Raw genomic sequence first — 25,751 nt, 5'->3', positions numbered from 1 at the left:
TATTTCTTCGTGTATATCTGATATTGGCAATTTGTGTTTTCTCTTTTTTCTTGCTTGATCTTTCCAGGTATTTATGAATTTTATTAATTTTTTTCAGGGAACCAACTTTTGGGTTTTTTTAATTTTTAAAATTTTTGCTTACTATTTCTTTGGTTTCTGCTTTTGTATTATTTCCTTTTTTTCTACCTATCTTTCTTTTGTTTTCCTTGTTTCTTAAGGTGGAATCTTAGATCTATGATTTAAAGATTTTCTTCAAATATAAGCATTTCAAGCTACATTTTTTTTTTTTTAAGGCAGAGTCCTATTGTCGCCCAGGCCCGAGTGCAGTGGTGCAATCTTGGCTCAGTGCAACCTCTGCCTCCCAGGTTTGAGTGATTTTCCTGCCTCAGCTCCCGGAGTAGCTGGGATTACAGGCACTCACCACCATGCCTGGCTAATTTTTTTGTATTTTTAGTAGAGACAGGGTTTCACCATGTTGGCCAGGCTGTTCTCAAACTCCCGACCTCAAGCGATCCGCCTGCCTCAGCCTCCCAAAGTGCTGAGATTAAAAGCCTATGAGCCATCATGCCCGGCTCAAGCTACACATTTTGTTTTAAACACTACTTTAACTATATAACACCAACTTTGTTATCTTGTGTTTTTATTATCATTCCACTCAGAATAGTTTCTAATATTCTTTGTGAATTTTTTTTTTTTTTTTGGCCAAGCACTGTGACTCACGCCTGTAATCCCAGCACTTTGGGAGGCCAAGGTGGCAGATCATTAGAGATCAGGAGTTCAAGACCAGCCTGGCCAACATGGTGAAACCCTGTCTCTACTAAAAAATACAAAAATTATCTAGGTGTGTGATGGGTGCCTGTAATCCCAGCTACTTGGGAGGCTGAGGCAGGAGAATCACCTGAACCTGAGAGGCAGAAGTGGTAGTGAGCCAAGATCCACCATGGCACTCCAGCCTGCATGACAGAGTCAAAAAGGAAGTGTGTTAGTGACCGGGTGCAGTGGCTCATGCCTGTAATCCTAGCACTTCTGTACGCCATGGTAGGCAGATCACCTGAGGTCAGGAGTTCGAGACAAGCCTGGCCAACATGGGGAAACCCTGTCTCCACAAAAATATAAAAAGTAGGCGGGTGTGGTGGCACATGCCTGTAGTCCCAGCTACTTGGGAGGCTGAGGCAGGAGAATCACTTGAGCCCTGGAGGTGGAGGTTGCAGTGAGCCGAGATGACACCACCGCACTCCAGCCTGGGCAACAGAGCAAGACTCTGTCTCAAAAAAAAAAAAAAAAAAAAAAAGCATGCTGTTTAATTTCTGCATATGTGGAACTCTCCTGGATTTCTCATTGTTATTGATTTTTAATTAAACTTTTTTATTAGAAAACATATCATAATGTATTGTAATTTTTTTGAATTAATTAAGACTTTTCATGGCCCAGCACATGATCTATTTCGGTTCATTCTCTACCTACCTTTGGAGAAAAATGTATTCTATAGCTATTGTGTGTGCTGGCCTATTCTTGTCAATTTTGTTAAGAAGATTAATAGTATTGTTAAGATTTCCTATATCTTTACTAATTTTCCCCCAGCCAGTAGTGCAGTGGCACGATATCAGCTCACTGCAAACTTCACCTCCTGGATTCAAGCAATTCTCAAGTCTCAGCCTCCCAAGTAGCTAGGATTACAGGCGTAGGCCACCATGCCCAGCTAATTTTTGTATTTTTAGTAGAGACGGGGTTTCGCCATGTTGGCCAGGCTGGTCTTGAACTCCTGGCCGCAAGTGATCCTCCTGCCTCAGCCTCCCAAAGTGGTGGAATTACAGGCGTGAGCCACTGCACTTGGCCTCTTTACTAATATTTTTGTTTATTGTTCTATCAGTTATGAGAGGGTGGTGGTAAAATCTCCAACTATCACTGTTTAACTGTATCTTCCTTTATGTATACTAAAAGTATGTTATTAGGTGATACATAATTATTGTTGTTAAAATGTGTTATTAGGTGATACATTTTATTGTTATGTCTTTCTAATAAATTGACTTTTTTTCATTTTTAGATGACCTTTTTAATTTCTAGTGTTACTTTTTGTTTTTCAGTCTACTTACAGTTTGATGGAATACTTATTTTCATCCTTTTACTTTCAACTTATCTATATTTTTAAAGTGCATCTTTTATAAGCAGCATATGGTTGGGTCTTTGGTTTTTAATCCAGTCTACATATATCTTTCTGTTATTAGACTACTCCATCCATTTACAAAAACGTTATTGTTGATAAGGTTGAGTTTAGGTTTACAGTTTTGCCATTTAGTTTCTATTTATTCCATTTGATTTTGTTTCCCTGTTTCTCCTTTTCTGTCTTCTTGTGTGTTAATTGGTTAATTTTTAGTATTTCATTTCTCTATTGGCTTAATTATATCTGTTCATTTTTTAGTTGTTGGATTACAAGGTGCATCCTTACTTTATTAGAGTCTACGTTGAGTTAAAATTGTACCACTTCATGTAAAATATAAGTTCCTTGAAACAGTATAGTACCTTTCAAGCTCATCTTGCACTAATTTGCATCTCTATATGTTATTAATCTATATATGTTATGAACACAAAATAGCATTATAATTTTTGCTTTAAACAATCATGTCTTGAAGAAATTGAGAGAGAAAAAAATGACCTTGTTATTCACTCACATAATTACCATTTTTAGTGCTCTTAATTTCTTTCTGAGATCCAAATTTCCTTCTGATACCATTTTTCTCCAGCTTGAAGAGCTTCCTTAAGCATTCTTTCATAATATAAGTGTGAATTTGAGTGGTATTTATACATAGATTGGTGGGGCCTCCTTCCTCTGTGTCTCCCTCATTTCCGAGATAACATTGATAATTTCCAGCCACTCTAGCAGCTCTGAACCCTGTACTCTGACACCTCAAGCCAGTTAAGCTGACCTTTTGCTTGAATTGCTGTCATGCAGACTGGGAAGTGTCCTCAATGAAAAAGCCATATAAACATGAGTCTCACATAGCATGGTTCCGTCTTTCAGTGGTCTAACTCCTTTCAGTGTCTGCCCACTTTTAGTTGCTTTCCAGTGCCTTCAAATAGTTGGCTTTTATATTTTGTTGAGAGTTTATAAATGTTATTTGTGGTAGGGCTAGCTTAATGCAAGCTGCTCTGCCATTAGAGGAACCAGAATTTACCTTCCACTTCTTACTCTCATAAGGGTTGGCAAACTTTTCCTGTAAAGGACCAGATAGTAAATATTTTAGGCTTTGCAGGCCAAAAGGCAAAACTGAAAATATTGCGTGGATATTTATATAAGGAGAGAGAAAACACATTTTCACAAAATTTTTATTGATTGTTGGGTATTTGTCTTATTGATTTCTGACAAGATCTTTACGTATTATGGAGATTAGCTCTTTGTACGTGATACAAGCTGTGAATATTTTTTCCACCTTGTCATTTATCTTTTGACTTTGTGTATGTCTTTTTTTATGCCGTGCAGACTTTTAAAATTTTTGTTATGAAGTCAAATGATCTGTTTTTATTTTTCTCCTATGACTTGTAGAGATTGAGTTATATGTAGCAAAATGATAGGGATATTCTTAGGCATTTACATACACTATATACTATATTATTTGATGGTCTTATTTGTATAATTTCCGCTAGAAATAATTTAACAGGATAAAATTATTACCACACCATCAAGTGTTTTAAATGTATACAGTTAGCCTGAGTCAATCTACGGCTATCTAATAATAGAAATTTATCCATGTTTATTAGCTTTATGGGTTCCTAAAAAAAAAAAATTAAAATCTTTGCTTTTGTGTTTTCACAAACCCCGTGGATGATTCTTGCATACATCAAAATTTAAAAACCACTTATTGGCCGAACAAGGTGGCTCATGCCTGTAATCCCAGCACTTTGGGAGGCTGAAGCTTGCAGATCATTTGAGGGAGGGGTTCAAGACCGTCCTCGCCAACATGGTGAAACCCTATCTCTACTAAAAATACAAAAATTAACCAGCCGTGGTGGTCCATGGCTGTAATCCCAGCTACTCAGGAGGCTGAGGCAGAAGAATCACTTGAGCCCAGGAGGCAGAGGTTGCAGTGAGCAGAGATCATGCCACTGCACTCCGGCCTGGGCAACGGAGCAAGACTCTGTCTCAAAACAAAACATAACAAAACAAAACAAAACAAAGAAAAGAAAAGAAAAAAAGAAAACCACTTATTCACCAGATCATCTCTTATCTCTCTCCCCATCTCATGACAGAAAGTCCCACTAAGCCTCAAAGATCCACTATTAGCACCTCTGTGGTCTTTGTATTTTCCTGTAAGAAGACCTGGTGCAGCATTAGGAAAAGCCCCATTCTTTACGGTTTTTACTGGCAATGTCACTTAGACAAGGGATGTCATTTGTCTGGGGAACTGGATTGAGACAGTATAACTGGATATGTTTGAAACTCATCTTTATACTTATGATCTTGTGAGGTTATCTGACGACATACAAGAACTTTAGTTCCTCTTCTGTAAAATGATATTATGATACAAAGCGCATAGTAGAGTGCCTGACACACGTGAGCAGGCAATAAATGGCTGTTGGTGTGAGCAATGTGGGCCAGCAGTCCTGAAGCTGTCTTCCATCCCACACTGTAGCAGGAGAGGAGATAAACGCAGTTGGAAATAACAGGTGGCATCAGTGGAAAGGAAACAGGCTGGCCAATCCCTAGGGCTCAGAGAAGAAAGGAAAGAGGGCTTTTGGGAGCTGGCTGAAGCCCCGGAATGTCCTCCGGGTTTTGTACTGGCAAGAGGCCCAGGCCTCCCGCCGTTGCTCACCTACCAACTCCCCGGAATTTTAGAATTCAGGCACAAGATGATTTATATGGTTGCTTGAGAGAGGTGAATAATGAAGGGAGAAAGTGCCCATAAAAGGACCAATTTAGTACAACTTCTGGTTTTTCTTTCTTTGCTGGCAGGACTCTGCCAAGACCTCCATCCAAACTTGGCTGGCGGCTCCTCTGCACTGTGAACCAGAGCTGCCCGGCGGGCGAGGTCACAGCCGGTTATTATCCCCTCCCACACTGCTTATCAAGCTTGGCCCTTTTCTCCTCCAGTGTGAATGCTTGGGGCTCTTCGCTATGCAATGAAAATAAACAGCAATGTAAATGGTCTCCTGGCTACTTGATCCACACCAATACGGAAAACCTGCTTTACAAGCTTCCACTGAAACTTCTGGTAGAATAAGCAACTGATAATTCTACACCAAATGTCTGGCATTTAGCCAGAACCAACAACTGTTCCCTTTTTTGCAAGCCACATTCTGGTGACCATGGAGAGCCAAAATAGATATTTTGATTCTACAGCATTTTCTAAAGGAAGGTGAAATCACAGTGCCATTATGCAAACTAACCATAGGTTTAGGATAAGGGAAAAATTAGCTTAAAGACTTTATCTCGCTTCTAAAATCTCAAATTAAAATTTTTTTTAACTTGAAAGAAATTGGTCAACTGCCAATAAACTTTTTTTTTAAAAAAAGAGCTCACCAAATCATTACTGTTTTTTCAAATTGCTGGTACACATTGCTGTTTGATTAGGGTTGCCAGATTTAGCAACTAAAAATACAGGATAGTCAGTTAAATTTGAATTTCCAATAAACAGTGAATAAATTTTTAGTATAATTATGTCCCAAACCTTGCAGGTCCAAAATATTACATGGGGGCATACTTATAATAAAAAAAATCATTGTTTGTTGGAAATTCAAATTTAAGTAGGTGTTGTATATTTTATCTGGCTGCCTTAATTTAGTTGAATTTCACTATGATGCCAGGAAATATGAGAAGGGCAGAGTAACATTTTGACATTTTGATGAGATAGTTAAACCTCTTTACTGGGTCAAAAGAGAATCTACCCACCTTTTCTTTTTGCCATTTGCCCTTTAGTAAAATTAATTTTATATTTTCTACCCAGCTTCGGAGTTACAGTCTTCATTATTCTTCAAAAATATATGTGAGGGAAAGAATTAGTAAATACTACCTGTCAAGGATTTTTCCAGCCATTTTAAATTTAATTTTATTTTTTGAGGAGCAGTCTTGCTCTGTCACCCAGGCTGGAGTGCAGTGGCACGATCTCAGCTCATTGTAACCTCCACCTCCCGGTTCAAGCCATTCTCCTGCCTCAGCCTCCCGAGTAGCTGGGACTACAGGCGAGCACCACCAAGCCCAACTAATTTTTATAAAAGGCATTTTAGATATTATATTTCTTAATAATCATTTTCCTGTATAATTTTAGTTTGAAAGTGCTCAGATTATAAAATTATTATTATCTCAATGGATCTTGGAAATTTATAAAAAGTGGCTAAGTCAATTTATGTTAATAAAAAGTTACTGAACCCAAGATGAGTCAGGTACTGTATTAAACTACAGCTCTAAGGAAGGATAATATTTATTCATTTATTTTTAGGAAAAAATAATCTACATCTCAAGCAATAATGCCCTTATTAGCAGCAAAACATATTAATTAAAGCTTGAGAAGAAAAGAATAAATGGATATTAACAAATTTGCTAATTATTCTTTCTTGTGGATATAATTGTTTATTCAATAAATATTTTTAAATTATTTTTGTTGACAAAAATGTTTACATATTTATCATGTACACATGATGTTTTGAAATATGTATACATGGCAGAATGACTAAACCAAGCTAAATAACATATGCATAACCTCACACACTTATGTTTTCTGGTGAGAACACTAAAAGTCTACTCCCTTAGATTTTCACTCAACAAACATTCATTGAATGGATACAAGTACTAGGCAAAGAGGCTGAAGCTACAGTCCCTGAACTCATGTTTTTTTGTTTTTCTTTTGATTTTTTTTTGAGACAGAGTCTCACTCTGTTGCCCAGGCTGGAGTGCAGTGGCATGATCTAGGATCACTGCAACTTCTGCCTCCAGGTTTCAAGCAATTCTCCTGCCTCAGCCTCCCCAGTAGCTGGGATTACAGGCATGCACCACCATACCCAGCTAATTTTTGTATTTTAGTAGAGATGGGGTTTCACCATGTTGTCCAGGCTGGTCTCGAACTCCTGACCTCAAGTGATCTGCCTCCCTCAGCCTCCCGAAGTGCTGAGATTACAGGCGTAAGCCACCGTGCCCAGCCATGAACTCATGTTGAGTAGGGTCCAGTGGGAGAGACACTTGCTATCACAGAGGATGAGTATGACCTTGATTGCAAATGTTCTCCTAGGGCGCAAGCCCAATTATGCAGTCCAAAAAGAATCCCCATAGGCACTCAACAGCATGAGAATGCCTCAAAGTCTCTGTACACTCTGCACATGGATTCAGATGACTCTGCCTGGACAATCTGGAAATCCTAAAGGATTATAATGGGAAGCAAGTAAATGGAATTCTGTATGAGTTTGAGTAAACATAATTTAGAGGAATTGCCTCAGTGAGTGGTGCCAGACTGCGATGCAAGGCCATATTGTACCAATTGGCCTGACAATATCATTGTTAGTTGGTAGGTGAGGTCTACTTGAGTATAATTCCAATTCTATTTTCCAGATAGTCTATCATAGGCAGACAGGATACTCTATGGTGATAGGTATAATGTGATTGATTTTCTCCATGAATAAATTTTATGAGCATTCTTGTGAAAACTGCATTAGTTTGATATGGCATGCTTGACAACAAACCACATTTTCTAAAGATGCAAATCTCAAATGTTTATTTGTGGTGAATACACACACACACACACACACACACACACACCCTTGCAGATAACCACAAGTCTTTTCAAAGGTTCAGTGCAGCTGGGACTACCTCACACCTGCAATTGCTTAATAAGATGCAGTGGTGTCTTAAACTCAGCATTGACCTAATATCAGTGACTGGCATTCATCTTCTTAAGGTCAGCATTCTGTGGGTGCTGGAGATACTGAGTAAGACTGAAACCAGGCATGCAGCAGAAGAGAAATCATTGACACCATCCTCCATGTCATTTAAATTTTAAAAAATCTTTTAAACTTTAGATAATTGAGTTAAAGTGTTTGGAGGCAACATTTATTCAGATCCCACAATTACTTGAATTTTCCTCTTTTCACACTTTCTCTTTAAAGACAAAATCTAAGAGTATGAGAATTTTATTACAGAGGACATTTACATTTTAATCAGCCAGGGTGTCCATATGGTTAAACCTCCAATGAATTTACACATAATAATCAGTACCAATTCCCTCAGTTTTCTTCCATTTCAGTTGGAGAGAGGGACACCTGGAACAAATTCCATGGAGTATCTGGTTTGTCCTATGTCCACCCCCAATACATTTAGAAAGAGGAAGCATGGTTAAGTGAACAGTCTTGAAGACAAGAAGTCACCAAAGGCCAGCATGTAGAGCAGGCAATTCACAAGAGGGAAGAAGAATTTCTACTAGTTCTGCTTTGATGATCAAGGAGGGTGAGATGAATTATAAACTTGGGGGCCAGTCCTTTTTATCCACCGGGGGCCTTCTGTCTTTCTTAAACGTCTACAATGAATTCTACCCTAATTTGCTATACTTTTTTTTTCCTTTTTTTTTGTGAGAGGAGTTTCTCTCTTGTTGTCCAGCCTGGAGTGCAATGGCACAATCTTGGCTTACTGCAACCTCTGCCTCCAAGGTTCAAGTGATTCTCCTGCCTCAGCCTCCCAAGTAGCTGGGATTACAGTCATGCACCACCATGCCCGGCTAATTTTGTGTTTTTAGTAGAACACAATTAAAATTCTCTGTGTTGGTCAGGCTGGTCTCAAACTCCAGACCTCAGGTGATCTGCCTGCTTTGGCCTCCCAAAGTGCTGGGACTACAGGCATGAGCCACTGTGCCCAGCCTAATTTACTAAACTTTAACTCAGTTGTCCAGTTCACGTAGAATGAGCTCAAACTTTAATATTTATTTCATCAATCTGGTTTTATTATAATTGAAGCCAAATATAATATAATAGATTTTATTACCATTCAACATTTTCACAATCATCAACTTAAGGATAATTAGGAGCAAAATAATTACCAGACATCCTACCACAGAGGAATTTGCTCTTTTCAGTCATCTATACAGAGCTTCAATTTAATTTTTTACAAAGTAATTAATCTAGTTTGCAATTTTTTCTGTCCCTTTTTAATTTAACTCAACAAACATTTATGGAGAGCCTGCTTTGTGCTAGGCACTGTGTGGCAGCAGTGTTCAAATAGGTAAATTAGACTTAACACCCTGAGAATTCTGTAGCTTGCACCTGGCCCACGTTCCTCATCTTACAGATGATGAAAAGTCTTGATAAATTAGAAATTTCATACACAGAAAGGGAGTTATGATCAGGTTACCTATCCCAAATTATGACTTATCATTTACTCTCTTTCCTCTGTTTCAAAGTGCTGTGCATACTTATTTAATTATGTATTTATTAGAGTTGGTCTCACTGTATTGCCCAGGCTGGACTGCAGTGGTGCAATGTCAGCTCACTACAGCCTTAGCCTCTCCAGCTCAAACAGTCCTCCCACTTCAGCCTCTCTAGTAACTGAAACTACAGGTGTGCACCACCATGCCCAGGTAATTTTTTAATGATTTGTATGTTGTATTAATGGTTTTTTTATTTTTATTTTATTTTATTTATATTTTGTAGAGTTAGGGTTTCACCATGTTGCCCAGGCTGGTCTCAAACTCCTGGGCTCAAGCAATCCACCCATTTCAACCTCCTAAAGTGCTAGGATTACAGATGTGAGCTCTCACAGCTAACCTTATTTACTTTTTAATAATAAAGATGAGGTCTCACTATGTTGTCCAGGCTGGTTGCAAACTCCTGGCCTCCAACAATCCTTTTGCTTCAGCCTTGCAAAGTGCTGGGACTACAGGCATGAGCCACTGTGCTGGGGACCACTGTGTGGCCTTTGAATGGAAGTCTGACTTCATTCCAAAAGGAAGGGGAAAGGCTATCAAAGGGCTTTTCTTTAAAGGTATTTGCAGATGAGTTTCTCCTGCTGCTCAGTCATCTCTAGGTCAGTCATCTCTATGCTGCCTTATCCTGCTACCTCTTTTTTTTTTTTTTTGAGATAAGGTCACACTTTGTCATACAGGCCAGAGTGCAGTGGCGTGATCATGGTTCACTCCAGGCTTAACCTCCCAGGCTCAGGTGATCCTCCCACCTCAGCCTCCCATGTAGCTGGGAGCACAGGCATGTGCCACCACACCCAGCTAATTTTTGTATTTTTAGTAGAAATGGGATTTTGACATGTTACCCAGGCTGGTCTCAAACTCTTGGGCTCAAGAGACCCACCTACCTCAGCCTTCCAAAGTGCTGGGATTATAGGCATGAGCCACCATGTCCGCCACCCCCAACCTCCTTTTTACCAACCCCTTGTGGCTCAGCCTACAGGATTGCAGGTGTTTTTACTGTTGAAAAATAGTCAAACTCCAGTGGTTTTAAAGGGACAAGTAAAGCAACATTCACAATTGCTAAGACATTCAATTCTAGGTATATATTCCACAGCCAACTTTTTTTTCCCCCATGAGAGTTCATAATTGCATCATGGGATACAATGAGAGCCAGGGATTTTTTGTCCATTTGATCCTACGAGAAACAGGTGAATATACAGTTGTGATTTTAAATCATGTGGATAGAAGTTTGGAAGGATAGAGATCTTCACATTATAAGTGATTATCTGATTTTTGAGCTTATAGGCAATTTCAATTTTTTTCTTTGAGCTTTTGCTTATTTCTTTTCTCCTTCCTTCCTTTCTTTCTTCTTTCTTTCTTTTTTTTTTTTTTTTTGAGACAGAGTTTCACTCTTGTTGCCCAGGCTGGAGTGCAATGGCATGATCTTGACTCACTGCAACCTCCACCTCCCGAGTTCAAGCGATTCTCCTGCCTCAGCCTCCTGAGTAGCTGGGATTACAGACATGTGCCACCACACCCGGCTAATTTTTTGTAGTTTTAGTAGAAACGGGGTTTCACCATGTTGGCCAGGCTGGTCTCGAACTCCTGACCTCAGGTGATCCACCCACCTCAGCCTCCCAAAAGTGTTGGGATTACAGGTGTGAGCCACCATGCCTGGCCAAGCTTTTGCTTATTTCTATGATTATTTTCAATTGTTCAATGAATATATTAATCAGAAGAAAAATGTTTAGATCTTTTATTTTTTCACTCTGTTGCCCAGGTTGAAGTGCAGTGGCACAATCTCTTGGTTCACTGTAGCTCAAGTAATCCTCCCACATCAGCCTCCCAGGTTGCTGGGACTACAGGCCTGTGCCACCATGCCTGGCTAATTTTTGTATTATTTGTAGGGATGGGATTTCACCATGTTGCCCAGGCTGGTCTCGAGCTCCTGGGCTCAGCCATCCATCCATCTCAGGCTTCCAAAGTGCTGGGACTACAGGCATGAGCCACTGCACCCAGCCCTTAAATCATGTTTCTTAATCTCTTAACTGCACACAGATGTGGGTACAATAATAAATATGTTCTTTGTGCAGTGTTTAGCACAAAGACAAAAACAACCTAAATGGCTACCAAAAAAGTCAAAGACAGTGGAATACTGACTATGACTCAAACTTACGGCTATTGACAAGGATTGGTTCAATCCATTAGAAGACTATGAGCCCGTAACAAAAGATGTTGTGTATCTGCACATATTTCATGGGGAAATGTCCATGATAAGTGTTTACAAACTTGATGTTTACCATGAACCTATTTGTATTAGAAAGCAGTTAATGTATGTATGTATTAAGCTCTTAAAACAGTTTGGTTTTATCCTGAAGGTGGGATTATAAGGGCAATAGGCCAGGCACAGTGGCTCACACCTGTAATCCCAACACTTTGGGAGGCTGAGGTGGGCAGATCATGAGGTCAGGATTTTGAGACCAGCCTGACCAACATGGTGAAACCCCGTCTCTACTGAAAATACAAAAATTAGCCAGGCGTGGTGGCTGGCGCCTGTAGTCCCAGCTACTCAGGAGGCTGAGGCAGGAGAATCACTTGAACCCGGGAGGCAGATGTTGCAGTGAGCCAAGATCACGCCACTGCACTCCAGCCTAGGTGACAGAGCAAGACTCTGTCTCACACACACACACACACAAAACGTGCAATACAGCTTTCCTACTTATACACTCTATAGTTTGTTAGGGCTTCATTAGCAAAACACCACCGACTAGTTAGGTGGTTTAAACAACATACATTTATTTCTCACTATTCTGGAGGCTAGGAATCCAAGATTAAGACATCAGCAGATTTGGATTTTTCAAAGTCCTTTCTCCTTGGCTTGCCGATTCTCCCTCTGTGTTCTCACAAGGTCATCCCTCTTTCTGTGTGTTATCTGTGTCCTAATCCCCTCCTGTTGTAAGGACACCATTCAGATTGGATTAGGGTCCCCCCCATGTGACCTCATTTTAATTTAATCATCTCTTTGAAGACCTTATCTCCAAGACAGTCACATTCTGAGGTCCTGGGTTTAGGACTTCAACTAACTAACAAATTTGAAGGAGGACACAATTTCGCTCATGATGTGGAGCTTGGTATTTTCTTAATTTTTTCTGTGAACATTTATTAGTTTTATAACCAGCAAACAACAATACTTATTCAAGTGGAGAATCATTCTTCAAATAAGTAAATATTGTATGTCTGTCTTCCAGGAGGAAATGGTACCTAGATGATGGCTTTTTTTTTTTTTTTGAGACACAGTCTCACTCTATCACCCTGGCTGGAGTGCAATGGCACTATCTCGGCTCACTCCAACCTCTGCCTCCCAGGTTCAAGCAATTCTCCTGCCTTAGCCTCCCAAGTAGCTGGGATTACAGGCTCCTGCCACCACAACTGGCTAATTTTTTGTATTTTTAGTAGAGATGGGGTTCCGACATGTTGGCCAGGCTGGTCTCGAACTCCTGACCTCAGGTGATCCACCCGCCTCGGCCTCCCAAAGTGCTAACATTACAGGCGTGAGCCACCGGACGATGGCTCTTATCTGTGCTAGTATTTTCCTATGTTTCAGCTTATGATTTTATTTATTTAATTTTATAATTATTACTATTATACATGTTCTTTACAATTAGATTCTTTTTTTTTTTAACTTCTTAAATGCACAAATTTATTTTTTCTCAACAAACACACATCTTAATGCCTTTACAACTTTTATCTCCCCAAATATATCTTGCTTTTCTTTATACATGCTGTATACAGAGTTGTTTTCCTTATATTTAGTAGTTATTGCTTTTTTGTGCCCTTTTGGGTCCTGAATTTACACATCAGGCATAGATCTTGGGACAGGAAAGAGCTGTGAAGCAAATTCCTGGAAGATCAAACCCCTTCCAGCATGGCCAGGTAGCACAGCTGAGCCAGGGATGATGGGGCCATATTGGGTTTGGCTCTGCCTTGCAGCTGGCAGTCCAAACACTGAGGACATGCATATTTCTGCAGGCCTCACTATGGTCATCTGTCCAAACCCCAGAATCCAGAGACTCAAAACGAAATACAGTCATACAGTAAGATATGTGCAAGGTTTCAGGGAGCCCAGCAGCCAGACCTTACAGCTTTAGCTCAATTTAGACAAATCAAGCAAGTTTAAGAAATATTCCAGAAGTAGCAGTTTTATGACCTTAAAACATGTAATAGGCTGGGCACGGTGGCCCATGCCTGTAATCCCAGCACTTTGGGAGGCCAAGGTGGGCAGATCACTTGAGGTCAGGAGTTCGAGACCAGCCTGGCCAACATGGTGAAATCCTGTTTCTACTACAAATACAAAAATTAGCCATACAATTAGATTCTTAAAGATTCATTTTTCCTGAATATTACATTCCAACATGACTATTGAAAGTGAATACAGATGAAATGGCATTGGCTAAATGACCTTAGAAAAAGGGTATGACTTTCTTACCCTTGAGCTCATGACATTGTCATGAGGGTGATAAACTCATATCTATGATAAATTAAATTTGACTAAATCTGTTTTGTTTTGGTTTTGTTTTTGTTCTAGTAGAGACGGAGTTTTGCCATGTTGCCCAAGCTGGTCTGAAACACCTGAGGGCAAACTATCCTCCTGCCTTGGCTTTCCAAAGTGCTGGGATTACAGGACTCAGTCACCACACTTGGCCTGAATCTATTTTAAAGCCATTGATGAATATGAAAAAAATAGGTAAAATATTTAAGTTTGACTGTTAGACCTATAAACTGTAATCTTTCCTAAGTTTTATTATTGAGGCAACCTATATACATTGGATAAATAGGAAAACTATTTCAGTGAGCAGAGAAAGAAAAGCATAATTTCTTTTAAAATATTGGAAAAATCTACTGTAATAGATTTTGAATACTAAATTTTTCAGCATATAATCTCAATCTTTTATCCCATGAACTATTTATGGATGTATTTATACAAATTCAGCCCGATCTAGTGAATGAGAAAAGAACAAGCTACAGATTTCATTCTCAACAAGCTTGGAATCTAGTTGAGGAGGAATAGTTAACAAAAATAAAACTAACACAAGGCATAAAGAAATAATTGCAAATTGTGACTAGTGTAGTAGGTCTGAGGAAACATAAATCAATGTGGATTGAAATAATGTGGGTTCATATTGGGAAGGAGGTGTGACTACATCCAGGTCTTGGAGGAGGCAATAAACTGACAGAGGGACGAAGGTGGAACATCCCAGACAAGATGAGAACATGGGGACGAGGGAGGGACAAGGAAAATGTCATGATGCACTTTGAGAACGATTAGTGAATCCACCTGATGGGACTGAGAGCATCTGAGAGTAAAACGTGGAAAACAAAGCTGAAGAAATGGTTAGTGCTCCTAGATTATAGAGAATCATGACAGCCTGGGAGATAAGGTTGCAACTGATCCAATTGCAAGTGGTAAGTGGAGGTAATTGGAGCCATTTTTTATTTAGAAGTAGGGGAAAGATAATGCTACAGTTGGATGCCAGGCAGTGGTGCATGCCTGTAATCCCAGCACTTTGGGAGGCCAAGGCAGGTGGATCACTTCAGCTCAGGAGTTCGAGACCAACGTGGGCAACATGGTGGCCAGGCATCGTGGTGCTCGCCTATAATTCTAGCTACTCCAGAGGCTGAGGTGGAAGAATGGCTTGAGCTTGGGAAGTCGAGGCTGGAATGAGTCTTGATCATGCCACTGCACTCCAAGCCTGGGAGACAGAGTGAGGCCCTATCTCAAAAAACAAAACAAAACAAAAAACCAGCCAGGCAGGCACGGTGGCTCGGGCCTGTAATCCCAGCACTTTGGGAGGCTGAGGCAGATGGATCACCTGAGGTCAGGAGTTTGAGACCAGCCTGACCAACATGGTGAAACCTCATCTCTACTAAAAATACAAAAACTTAGCCGAGCATGGTGCTGGCGTCTGTAATTCCAGCTACTTGGGAGGCTGAGGCAGGAGAATTGCTCGAACCTGGGAGGTGGAGGTTGCAGTGACCTGAGATCGTGCCACTGCACTCCAGCCTGGGCAACAGAATGAAACTCTGTCTCAAAACAAAAAAACCAAAAAACCCAAAAACTTCACCTAAAAATAATTTCTTGCTCTGACTTCAGAGGATGTCCAGGTCCCTAACGGTAAGAGCTCTGATTACATAAGGAGTTCCGCTGTTGAACTCTAGCTACTCACTAAGGGAGTCAATTTCAGGAGAGGATATGGATACCATCTTAGTCTGTATCTCAAATGACTCTTCATCCTCCTAGAGAGCATGGCACCTCTGTCAGCACCATGGGTAGTGATGTGGGTAACTCCTAGTACAGGAAGACAATTCCTCATGCCTGAGAAGAGCTCCAGTCAGGGAGAGCTTCTCTTCATCTAAGTCGGCAATTCTCAACCCTAGCCACAACTTCGAATCACTTGAGGAACATGTAAAAACATACCACTGACTAGGCTCCACGCTATTTAACTCAAAGGATAAATGCTTGAGGGGATGGATACCCTATTCTCCAAGATGTGCTTATTTCACATTGCATGCCTGTATCAAAACATCTCATGTACCTCATGAATATATACCCTTACTATGTACCCACAAAAACCTTTTAAATTTTTAAAATAAAATAAATAAATAATATTTAAAAATCAGGATCTGTGGGAGTTTGGCCCAACAGTCTAAGCAATCAAGGTCTTTCATGCCTATATTTCTACCTGGGAAAAGAAAATAGAACCAATATAGTAACTCTGAGCTGATATGGAATCTAAAAGACCCCAGTGTTCAGGAGAACACTGGCATAGTAACTACTGCCTGGAAGCTTTCTTTGGTACCCCATCAGAGTTGCTTGTGCTGACACCATGACCTTTGTTGACTATTATATCCATGAGTGACACTAGCCTATGTGACCTTGAGTTCTACAACTGTAATTTATGCTAATTTGCTTGCTACTGCTAATGGCTAGACAACCACACATATGCACGCGCGCGCGCACACACACACACACACACACACACACAATTTTCTCTCTCTCTCTTTCTCTCTCTCTTTCAACTGAGTTTTAAAGGAAACTATTGAATTAAACACTATTGGGTTTGTTTTTCCCTAATATGAACTTTTCTTTTGTATCTTATGTGTTCTATGTATAATTATATTTTGTCATGTCTGTTTCAGCCCAGAATCATTGCTCCATGGAGACCATCATTCTATTCTACTGGCTCCAAAATGAGTTTAACCAATCTGGACACTTAGACGTTGTCATCACTTTCTCACCTTTAATATCATCAATATTAGTAACACTGTCATAGAATACTGGGAAAGTAGAAAATAAAACGTCCAGGCCCAGTGGCGCACACCTGTAATCCCAACAGTTTGGGGTGGATTGCTTGAGCCCAGGAGTTGAAGACCAGCCTGGGCAACATGGCAAAACCCTGTCTCTACAAAAAAATAAAAAATAAATAGCCTGGTGTAGTGGCACGTGCCTGTACTCTCAACTACTCAAGAGGCTGAGGTGGGAAGATCGCTTGAGCCCAGGAGAACAAGGCTGCAGTGAGCCATGTTCGCACCACTGCACCCCAGCCTGGGTGACACAATGAGACCCTGTCTCAAAAAAATAAATAAAATTAAATACATCTTTATAGAACTCATTTAAATTCTCAACCCTTTTAAAACAAGTTCTTAATTATTTTACCCATTGGAATCTTTTGCCTCATCTCTGCAAAATGTCAACTAATTCTCTTCATGAAATTCCAGACTGTAAATACAGGTTTTTCTACGCAAAAAAAAAAAAAGGCTGGGAGCAGTGGCTCATGCCTGTAATCCCAGCACTTTGGGAGGCCAAGGTGGGCGGATCATCTGAGGTCAGGAGTTTGAGACCAGCCTGGCCAACGTGGTGAAAACCCATCTCTACGAAAAATACAAAAATTAGCTGGGCATGGTGGCATGCACCTGTAATCCCAGCTATTAGTAGGTGCTGAGGCAGGAGACTCGCTTGAACCCTGGAGGCAGAGGTTGCAGTGAGCTGAGATCACACCACTACACTCCAGCCTGGGCAACAGAGTGAGACTCCCTTTCAAAAAAAAAAAAAGAGTCTCTTATTCTCTGTAGACCTCAATTTCCTCATCTTTGCAATGAAGGGGTTGGACAAGATAATCAAGCCCCTCTAGTTATTTTAGTTTTTTTGGCTCATTCTTTATTTCTTTATTTATTTATTTGAGACAGAGTTTCACTCTTGTTGCACAGGCTGGAGTGCAATGGCACGATCTTGGCTCACCACAACCTCTGCCTCCTGGGTTCAAGCAATTCTTCTGCCTCAGCCTCCCAAGTAGCTGGGATTACAGCCATGCGCCACCATGCCTGGCTAATTTTGTATTTTTAGTAGAGATGGGGTTTCTCCATGTTGGTCAGGCTGGTCTCGAACTCCTGACCTCAGGTGATCTGCCCGCCTCGGCCTCCCAAAGTGTTGGGATTACAGGCGTGAGCTACCTTGCCTGGCTGTTTTGTTTGTTTGTTTGTTTGTTTTTTGGAGACGGAGTCTTGCTCTGTTGCCCAGGATGGAGTGCAGTGGCACAACCTCAGCTCACTACCCGCCTCCTGGGTTCACGCCATTCTCCTGCCTCAGCCTCCCGAGTATCTGGGACTACAGGGGCCCGCCACCATGCCTGGCCAATTTTTTTTTTGTATTTTTAGTAGTGACGGAGTTTCACCGTGTTAGCCAGGATCCCTGTCCGTTTTTTGACTCATTCTTACAACTTATTTATTCCCTAATCCTAAAGAACCAACCCTAAATAATACATATTTGGTAATTTTTTTTAGCAAAACATTTACCCATGAGACATGATTTTTTTAAATGAACGTTAAAGAAGTGTTGCCTATTTCTAATAAAGTCTAAAAAGCTTGTTTCAAGTCCAAATTCATTTACGAAAAAGCTATGTAACCTTGTGCAGGGTGCCAAGGGGTCTCAGCCTCTATATTTGCTATTGTTGAAACTACTACCATTTATCTCAAAACATGTTTTAAAAGTGAATTACTTATGAATAAAATGATAAAATGTCTGGAATGTGTTCCAAAATAGCCTGGGGGTTAGAGAGGGTGAGAATAATTTGAATAGAAGAAACAAGACAGTCTATTGCTGAAAATTGCTGAAGTTGGGGTTCGATTATACTATTAAGTGGATATAAGGACAAAATAAGATGAAATGGGCCGGGTACGGTGGCTCACGCCTGTAACCTCAGAACTTTGGGAGGTTGCAGTGAGCCGAGATGGTGCCACTGTACTCCAGCATGGGCAACAAGAGCGAAACTTCATCTCAAAAAAAAAAAAAATGAAATGTCCAAAACCTTCAAAAAGTTTTAGTTTTTATTTTTAAATATATAAGTAAATATATAATATTAATAAATATATATATTAAAATACATATATATGTGTGAGACAGGGTCTCACTCTGTTGCCTAGGCTGGAATGCAGTGGTATGAACACAGCTCACTGCAGCTGCAACCTCCTGGGCTTAAGGAATTCTCCTATCTCAGCCTCCTGAGTAGCTGGGACCACAGGCAAACGCCACCACACCTGGATAATTTTTTAAATTTTTTGTAGAGAAGGGGTCTCCCTGTGTTGCCCAGGCTGGTCTCAAACTCATGGGTTCAAGCAATCGTCCCACCTCGGTCTCCCAAATTGCTGGGATTACAGGCATGAGCCACCATGCCTGGCCTGAAAAGCTTTCTTTAAAAAACTTAAAAATATCTAAGAAAGTAAGATCTTTTTAGCAAATCTTGATTGACATGTGGGTGAGCTAATATACACATTTTCATTTTCCATGACTTCCTGAAATTAAGAACTAGCTAAATAAAGTGATTTGTTTTCAATGCACATTCTAAATTGAACTACCATTTAACCCAGCAATCTCATCACTGGGTATATTCCCAAAGGAACATAAATCATTCTGCCAAAAAGATACTCGCATTCATATGCTCATTGCCATGCTATGCACAATAGCAAAAACATGGAATCAGTCCAGTTGCCCATTAATGGTAGAATGGATAAAGAAAATGTAGTACATATACCCTATGGAATACTACACAGCCATAAAAAAGGATGAAATCGTATCCTTTCCAGCAACATGGATGCAGTTGGAGGCCATAATCCAAGGCAAATTAATTCAGGAACAGAAAACCAAATATCACATGTTATCACTTATAAGTGGGAGCTAAACAGGCCGGGCATGGTGGCTCACGCCTGTAATCCCAGTACTTTGGGAGGCCAAGGCAGGTAGATCACCTGATGTCAGGAGTTTGAGACCAGCCTGACCAACATGGTGAAACCCCATCTCTACTAAAAATACAAAAATTGGCTGGGTGTGATGGCACATGTCTGTCAATTCCAGCTACTCAGGAGGCTGAGGCAGGAGAATTGCTGGAACCCGGGAGGTGGAGGTTGCAGTGAGCTGAGATCACGCCATTGCACTCCAGCCTGGGCAACAGAACAAAACTCCACCTCAAAATAAATAAAAAATAAATAAATGCACCTCCTATTAATTATATGAATATTGAAAACTAAATATTCTGATTCAAAAGTAGCTTCTATAAAATTTCAGAGTAGTAGACATTATTTGCTTTCCCAGATGTGTAAATAAGAAACCTTTCACAATTAAATGGAAATATCAGTATATCGGCCGGGCACGGTGGCTCACACTTGTAATCCCAGCACTCTGGGAGGCTGAGGCAGGTGGATCACAAGGCCAAGAGATCAAGACCATCCTGGCCAACATGGTGAAACCCTGTCTCTACTAGAAATACAAAAATTAGCTGGGTGTGGTAGCTGCCTGTGGCCCCAGCTACTCGGGAGGCTGAGGCAGGAGAATCGCTTGAACCCAGGAGACGGATGTTGCAGTGAACCGAGATCTCGCCACTGCACTCCAGCCTGGCAACAGAGAGAGACTCTGCCTCAAAAAAAAAAAAAAGAAAAGAAAAAAAGAAAAAGAAAGAAAGAAATATCAGTGTATCAGAGCAAAAAAAATGTAATACATACATGGAAAGGCAGGCATTGTTCTGGATTCAAGTTTTCAAGTTTGATTTCCATTACAATGTTTTCTACAACTTGTAAGAACTACACACAAAAGTAAAAAGATGAAGTAAGCCTCTTATACATTGAGGAAAGTGTTTAAAACTTAATACTCAGATACCCCCTTGCCTAGATTCTGTCTTAGAAGCTCTTCCATAATTATGATGAAGATGACATATATCTGAACCATATAATGAACAGCAGTTTTCTTGGTCTTCTGAGTAGGCAATGATGTTCTTTCTTGTTATTACAAAACAATCATGACTAAGTTTTGCCAACAATATTGCTCCATTGTGGGTTTACATGAGGCACCACACTACAGTAAGAGCAGCTATGATGCCATTAAAAATCGCCATGCTATAGCCCATATGGAAAGAGTGTCCAGTCAGTTTCTCGAACCTGGCAGGTGAACAAGGAGCAGGAGGACACATTCCTGGTTCAAAAGAATCGAAGTAAGTCACTGTCCAAGAAAAGCTGCCACAGGAGAATCCAGCGGTTAGGGATATTATAAGCAAAGTCTAGACCAGTCATAATAGCCCAGTGTCTGCATCATTTTCATTTTTCAAATTCTCAGCATGCAACTCTGTAAATACAAAGAGGGCCACAACTTCCCTCCACACCTCCTTCCCCTTAATTTACAATTTCTAACATGCACTCACCTGAATCATCTAACTCAATCTTCATAAACAAATCTTTAACAGAAAAGGCAGATATTTGCAGTCCTATTTTTCAGATGAGAAAACTGAAACTTATGTTTCACTATGCCAGAATAGTTTCTGAATTCCTCCATGTTCATCATGTTTACCAAGATCTTGAAAGAGATAAGAGTTGTTTTTTTTTTTTTGTTTGTTTGTTTGAGACAGAGTCTTGCTCTGTCGCCCAGGCTGGAGTGCAGTGGCGTGATCTCAGCTCACTGCAACCTCCATCTCCTGGGTTCAAGCGATTCTCCTGCCTCAGCCTCCCAAGTAGCTGGGATTACAGGCACATGCCACCGCGCCTGGCTAAGTTTTTGTATTTTTAGTAAAGACGGGGTTTCACCATGTTGGTCAGGCTGGTTTCGAACTTCTGACCTCGTGATCCGCCTGCCTCAGACTCCCAAAGTGCTGGGATTACGGGCATGAGCCACTGCGCCCGGCCTGAGATAAGAGGTTTTGTTTTGTTTTTTTTTTTTCCCCCAGTTTTAATCTAGAAGTTTAGGATCATTAATCTGGGCCAGGTGAGGTGGCTCACGCCTGTAATCCCAGCACTTTGGGAGGCCGAGGCAGGCGGATCACGAGGTCAGGAGATCAAGACCATCTTGGCTAACACGGTGAAACCCCATCTCTACTAAAAATACAAAAAATTAGCCGGGCACGGTGGCGGGTGCCTGTAGTCCCAGCTACTCAGGAGGCTGAGGCAGGAGAATGGCGTGAACCCGGGAGGCGGAGCTTGCAGTGAGCCGAGATAGCGCCACTGCAGTCCGGCCTGGGCAACAAAGCAAGACTCTGTCTCAAAAAAAAAAAAAAAAAAAAAAAGAATCATTAATCTGATTTTAAAGTAGATTATTACATATTTTGTCCACACCTATGGCAGTTGTAAATTGCATTATAATTATGTTTAAGAAATGTTCCATAAAACCCCATAGGCTTTCCTTGCTACTGGGGAAGTAGGTCTGAATCCAAGCCAAACTGGAAAATCATGTTACGACCATACCAACTTGTCTGAAATCTAATTTGAGAAACGGTTAATTGTAAATATCTCCAATGGAATTTTGTCCTGAAAAAAAGTGAAAGAATGGGCATAAACATCAGGCCGCACCTTTTTTAGGAAGGCATTCTGTAGCCAGTAAAGAGAGCAGGGAGAGTCCTGAGGGCCAGGGAGTTTCCAGGGTGATGACTGACCCACGTCCTCTTCCTCTTCCCATAAAATAAAAGTGGGGATTTCTTCCATTGCTGAACAGTCCTTAGGACTTCCCCAGGCTCCATAAGAGAAGATACCAAAGTGGGGATCCCCACTCTTGGGGACTCCTAAAGCTTCCTTTAAGCGGGGCTTCTCAACCCTGACTACCTTTGAGAAACAGTGGGAGATTTTACAAAAATACTGCTCCCTGGGCCCCACCCCAGATCAATTAAATCTGCCTGGCTAGAGATAAGAAGTGGGGCCTAGGCTTCAGTAGTTTGAGAACCTTCTGGGTGATGCTAATGTACTGTAGAAGCTGAGGACCACTGCTTTAGGCTGTCTGCGAGTAATCACAAAGTCCTCTGCATTCCACTTCCATGATCACAGAAAACCTGAGGAGGACCAGGTGCGGTGGCTTATGCCTGTAATCCCAACACTTTGCGAGGCCGAGATGGGCAGATCACTTGAGCTCAGGAGTTAGAGACCAGCCTGGCCAAAAAAAATCCCGTCTCTACAAAAAATACAAAAATTACCTGGGCGTGGTGGCACGTGCCTGTAGACCCAGCTACTCTACTCAGGAGGCTGAGGTGGGAGAATTGCTTGAGTCCGGGAGGCAGAGGTTGCAGTGAGCTAAGATTGCGCCACTGCACTCCAGCCTGGGTGACAGAACCAGACCGTGTCTAAAAAACAAACAAACAACTGGGAAGTGTGAAGATTTGCAATTTGGCACTCTTCCGCCTTTCTTGTCTTTCAGCATGGCCCTCCCCACTCCCTCCTTGCCCACCTCACATACTCAGCGCTCTTCTCTTCCATTTGGTTCTGCCTCCCTCCTGTATCTCCTCTCCTATAAATATCAGTACACAGGAAACAGGAACCTATTCACATTAAAGTGTATAAAACTCTCAGGGCACTGTGGCCTATGCCTGTAATCCTAGCACTTTGGGAGGCTGAGACAAGAGGATTGCTTGAGGCCAGGAGCAGCCTGGGCAACACAGCAAGACCCCACGGTTGCAAAAAATACAAAAATTAGCCAGGCATGGTGGCGCATACCTGCAATTCCAGCTATTCAGGAGCTGAGGTGAGATGATCACTTGAGCCCAGAGGTTGAGGCTACGGGGAGCCATGATTGCACCACTGCACTCCAGCCTGGGCAATAGAGTAAGACTATGTCTTAAAATATATGTGTAAACTGATAACCTAAAGCGACCACCCTCACAGGAGCACGCACTCATCTTTACTGTAGAATAAAACCATGCTTTAATTCATCAAGAGCAACAGGCTTCAGCAGAACCCCGTACCCACCACCAGCACCATGCCCATGCTTAGGAAATGTAGCACATGTTTGGGCCAGAAGAAGTTTCCTCTGCCCCACTGGTCGTAACTCTGAGAGCTTCACTAGACACACCTATGCCCCGGTCCAGTGTCCCCAGGAACAGCCTCTTGCAAATCCCAAAAGAAGCAGAGAAACAGAAGGAAGCATGCGTTGACACCAATAGACATTCTGTGCAATTGGAAGTGTGTTCAGAAAGCGGAATAGTTCTGTTATGTCAAGAACCAGCTTTCCTATCTCTGAAGAAGGAACAGTATGCCCCAAGGAAAGATGGAGCGAGCGTATATAATTCAGGGGTAAGGAAGCAAATAAACATTTGCTAAATTCTACTTAACTATATGACAAATCATCAAAACCAAGCTGTATATGTCTCATGTGGTTTGAATAGAAGCCAATAGATCAGTGAGAGTGCGAAGGGTGAGTCATTTCATGCTTTCAGGATGTTTCACTGGAGAATGAGCTCTGCTGCCCCAGCAGTGCAGGTTTCAAATCATACAAACAGCAGAAGCCCCTAAGTCACCACAACCTAGTTACATCTAACTCAGGTTATACTGTGTTTACTTCCTCCAGGAAAGTCACCACAGAATACATCATGAGACTTTTGTGCATACAGCTTAGCAATTATCGGAAGGAACCAAAAGCTGCCCTTTTTGAGTGGCTGGTTTAACATATGTATACTAAAAGCAACTGATGTTTGAGCTCAGATTGTTTATTACATATTTAGTCCAGCATTCTAAACATGACAAGTTAACTCAGTTATAAACCAACATACAAATAATGTGGGAGGAATAGTTATCCCATGAACTTGCCTGAAAGTTCTCTGAGCCAGAAATTACAAAATTTCTATTAATATAGATGTTACCAGGAGGGTGAGTGGAAAAGAAAGACGGCAGGTAAATCTCGATTCTGTCCTAAGACATAGCACATGACTGATAAGTGGCTATCATGGTCAAGGACGAGAAGAAAACAAACAAGCAATTGCTACAAATGCCTTAAACTTACAAAACCTCTTCCAGACCTGACTTTGTGAAACAGAAGTAGCATCAGCCAAGAAACATTTTTAGATGGTCCTTTTGTGGTCAAAATAATTTGAAGTTATTCTATTCTTAGACGTTTGGAAGAAATCTGTTGACATATGGCTATAACAAATTACAAACACCCCCAAATTTTTGTTAGGAAAACATACTGCCAACTGTGAAATGTGTGGCTCATTACTATTTGGGAGATGCTCCTGTAATAATTTAATAATAATCATAGCAATAGTTCTAACTTCTGACTATTTTATAAATGCTATTCACCATATCCAACTTGGCACTGGTAGCTTCGAATTTACAATAATAATAATAATAGCATCTAAAATTCATTAAACCCTATCCATTTGCTCAGGATTGGGACACAGGCTTTGTGTCATAAACTCATCATTGTTTCCATTTTGCTTAAGAAGAAAGAGGCTCAGAGAGGTTAAGGGACTTTCCCAATCAAGGGCGCTATGCATAGGCTGCAGATTTCAGCCCCACGTCTGTCTGTTTTGCATGTCTTTACTCTACCACTATGCTATATTGTCTCTCTATAGAAACACATCAGCAAATGAAGAAAATACAGATTATTTAAGCTATAAGTTGGAAAATGTGGACATAACTGGTTGGGTTCTATTCATTTCCTCTAGCATTTTGTTGCATTTTTCATTTTGTGGGATACAAAATAAAATAAGCAAAATATACGTTATGTTATGGGAGAAAATCTTCACAACTTTGAGGTAAGCAAAGATGTCTTAGGACACAGAAAGTTAAAGTTCAAATAATAAAAGAAAAAATTGATAATTTGGACTTCCTCAAAAATTTTTAAATGTATGTTCTTCAAAAGATGCCATTAAGCAAATGAAAAGCAATCTACATATAGGGGGAACATATATGTAATACAAATATCTGATGAAGGACTTGTGTCCAGAATATATAAAGAACTCTTACAACTCAACAGAAAAACAATAATGCAATTAAAGATTTGTGGAGAAAGTTAAACTGATATTTTATCAACAAAGATATATGGATGACTTGTAAGCACATGAAAAGACTGTTAATATCTTTCGTCAT

At 40.7% G+C, this 25,751-nt stretch overlaps 1 pseudogene, besides 1 other annotated feature; it reads right to left on the bottom strand.

The window, feature by feature from the left end:
- Window positions 4,458–4,957: an enhancer, noted in NCBI's record as "H3K4me1 hESC enhancer chr8:81279449-81279948 (GRCh37/hg19 assembly coordinates)". NCBI's record gives its function as "activates a minimal SCP1, AML or CMV promoter by ChIP-STARR-seq in primed H9 embryonic stem cells {active_cell/tissue: H9 hESC(primed)}" and the evidence as "EXISTENCE:reporter gene assay evidence [ECO:0000049][PMID:30033119]".
- Window positions 20,375–21,055, bottom strand: LOC100216346 (ARF like GTPase 6 interacting protein 6 pseudogene; annotated as a pseudogene).

This window comes from Homo sapiens, chromosome 8, assembly GCF_000001405.40.
Source record: "Homo sapiens chromosome 8, GRCh38.p14 Primary Assembly".
NCBI lineage: Eukaryota > Metazoa > Chordata > Mammalia > Primates > Hominidae > Homo > Homo sapiens.
This window is presented reverse-complemented; position numbering and strand designations above follow the sequence as displayed.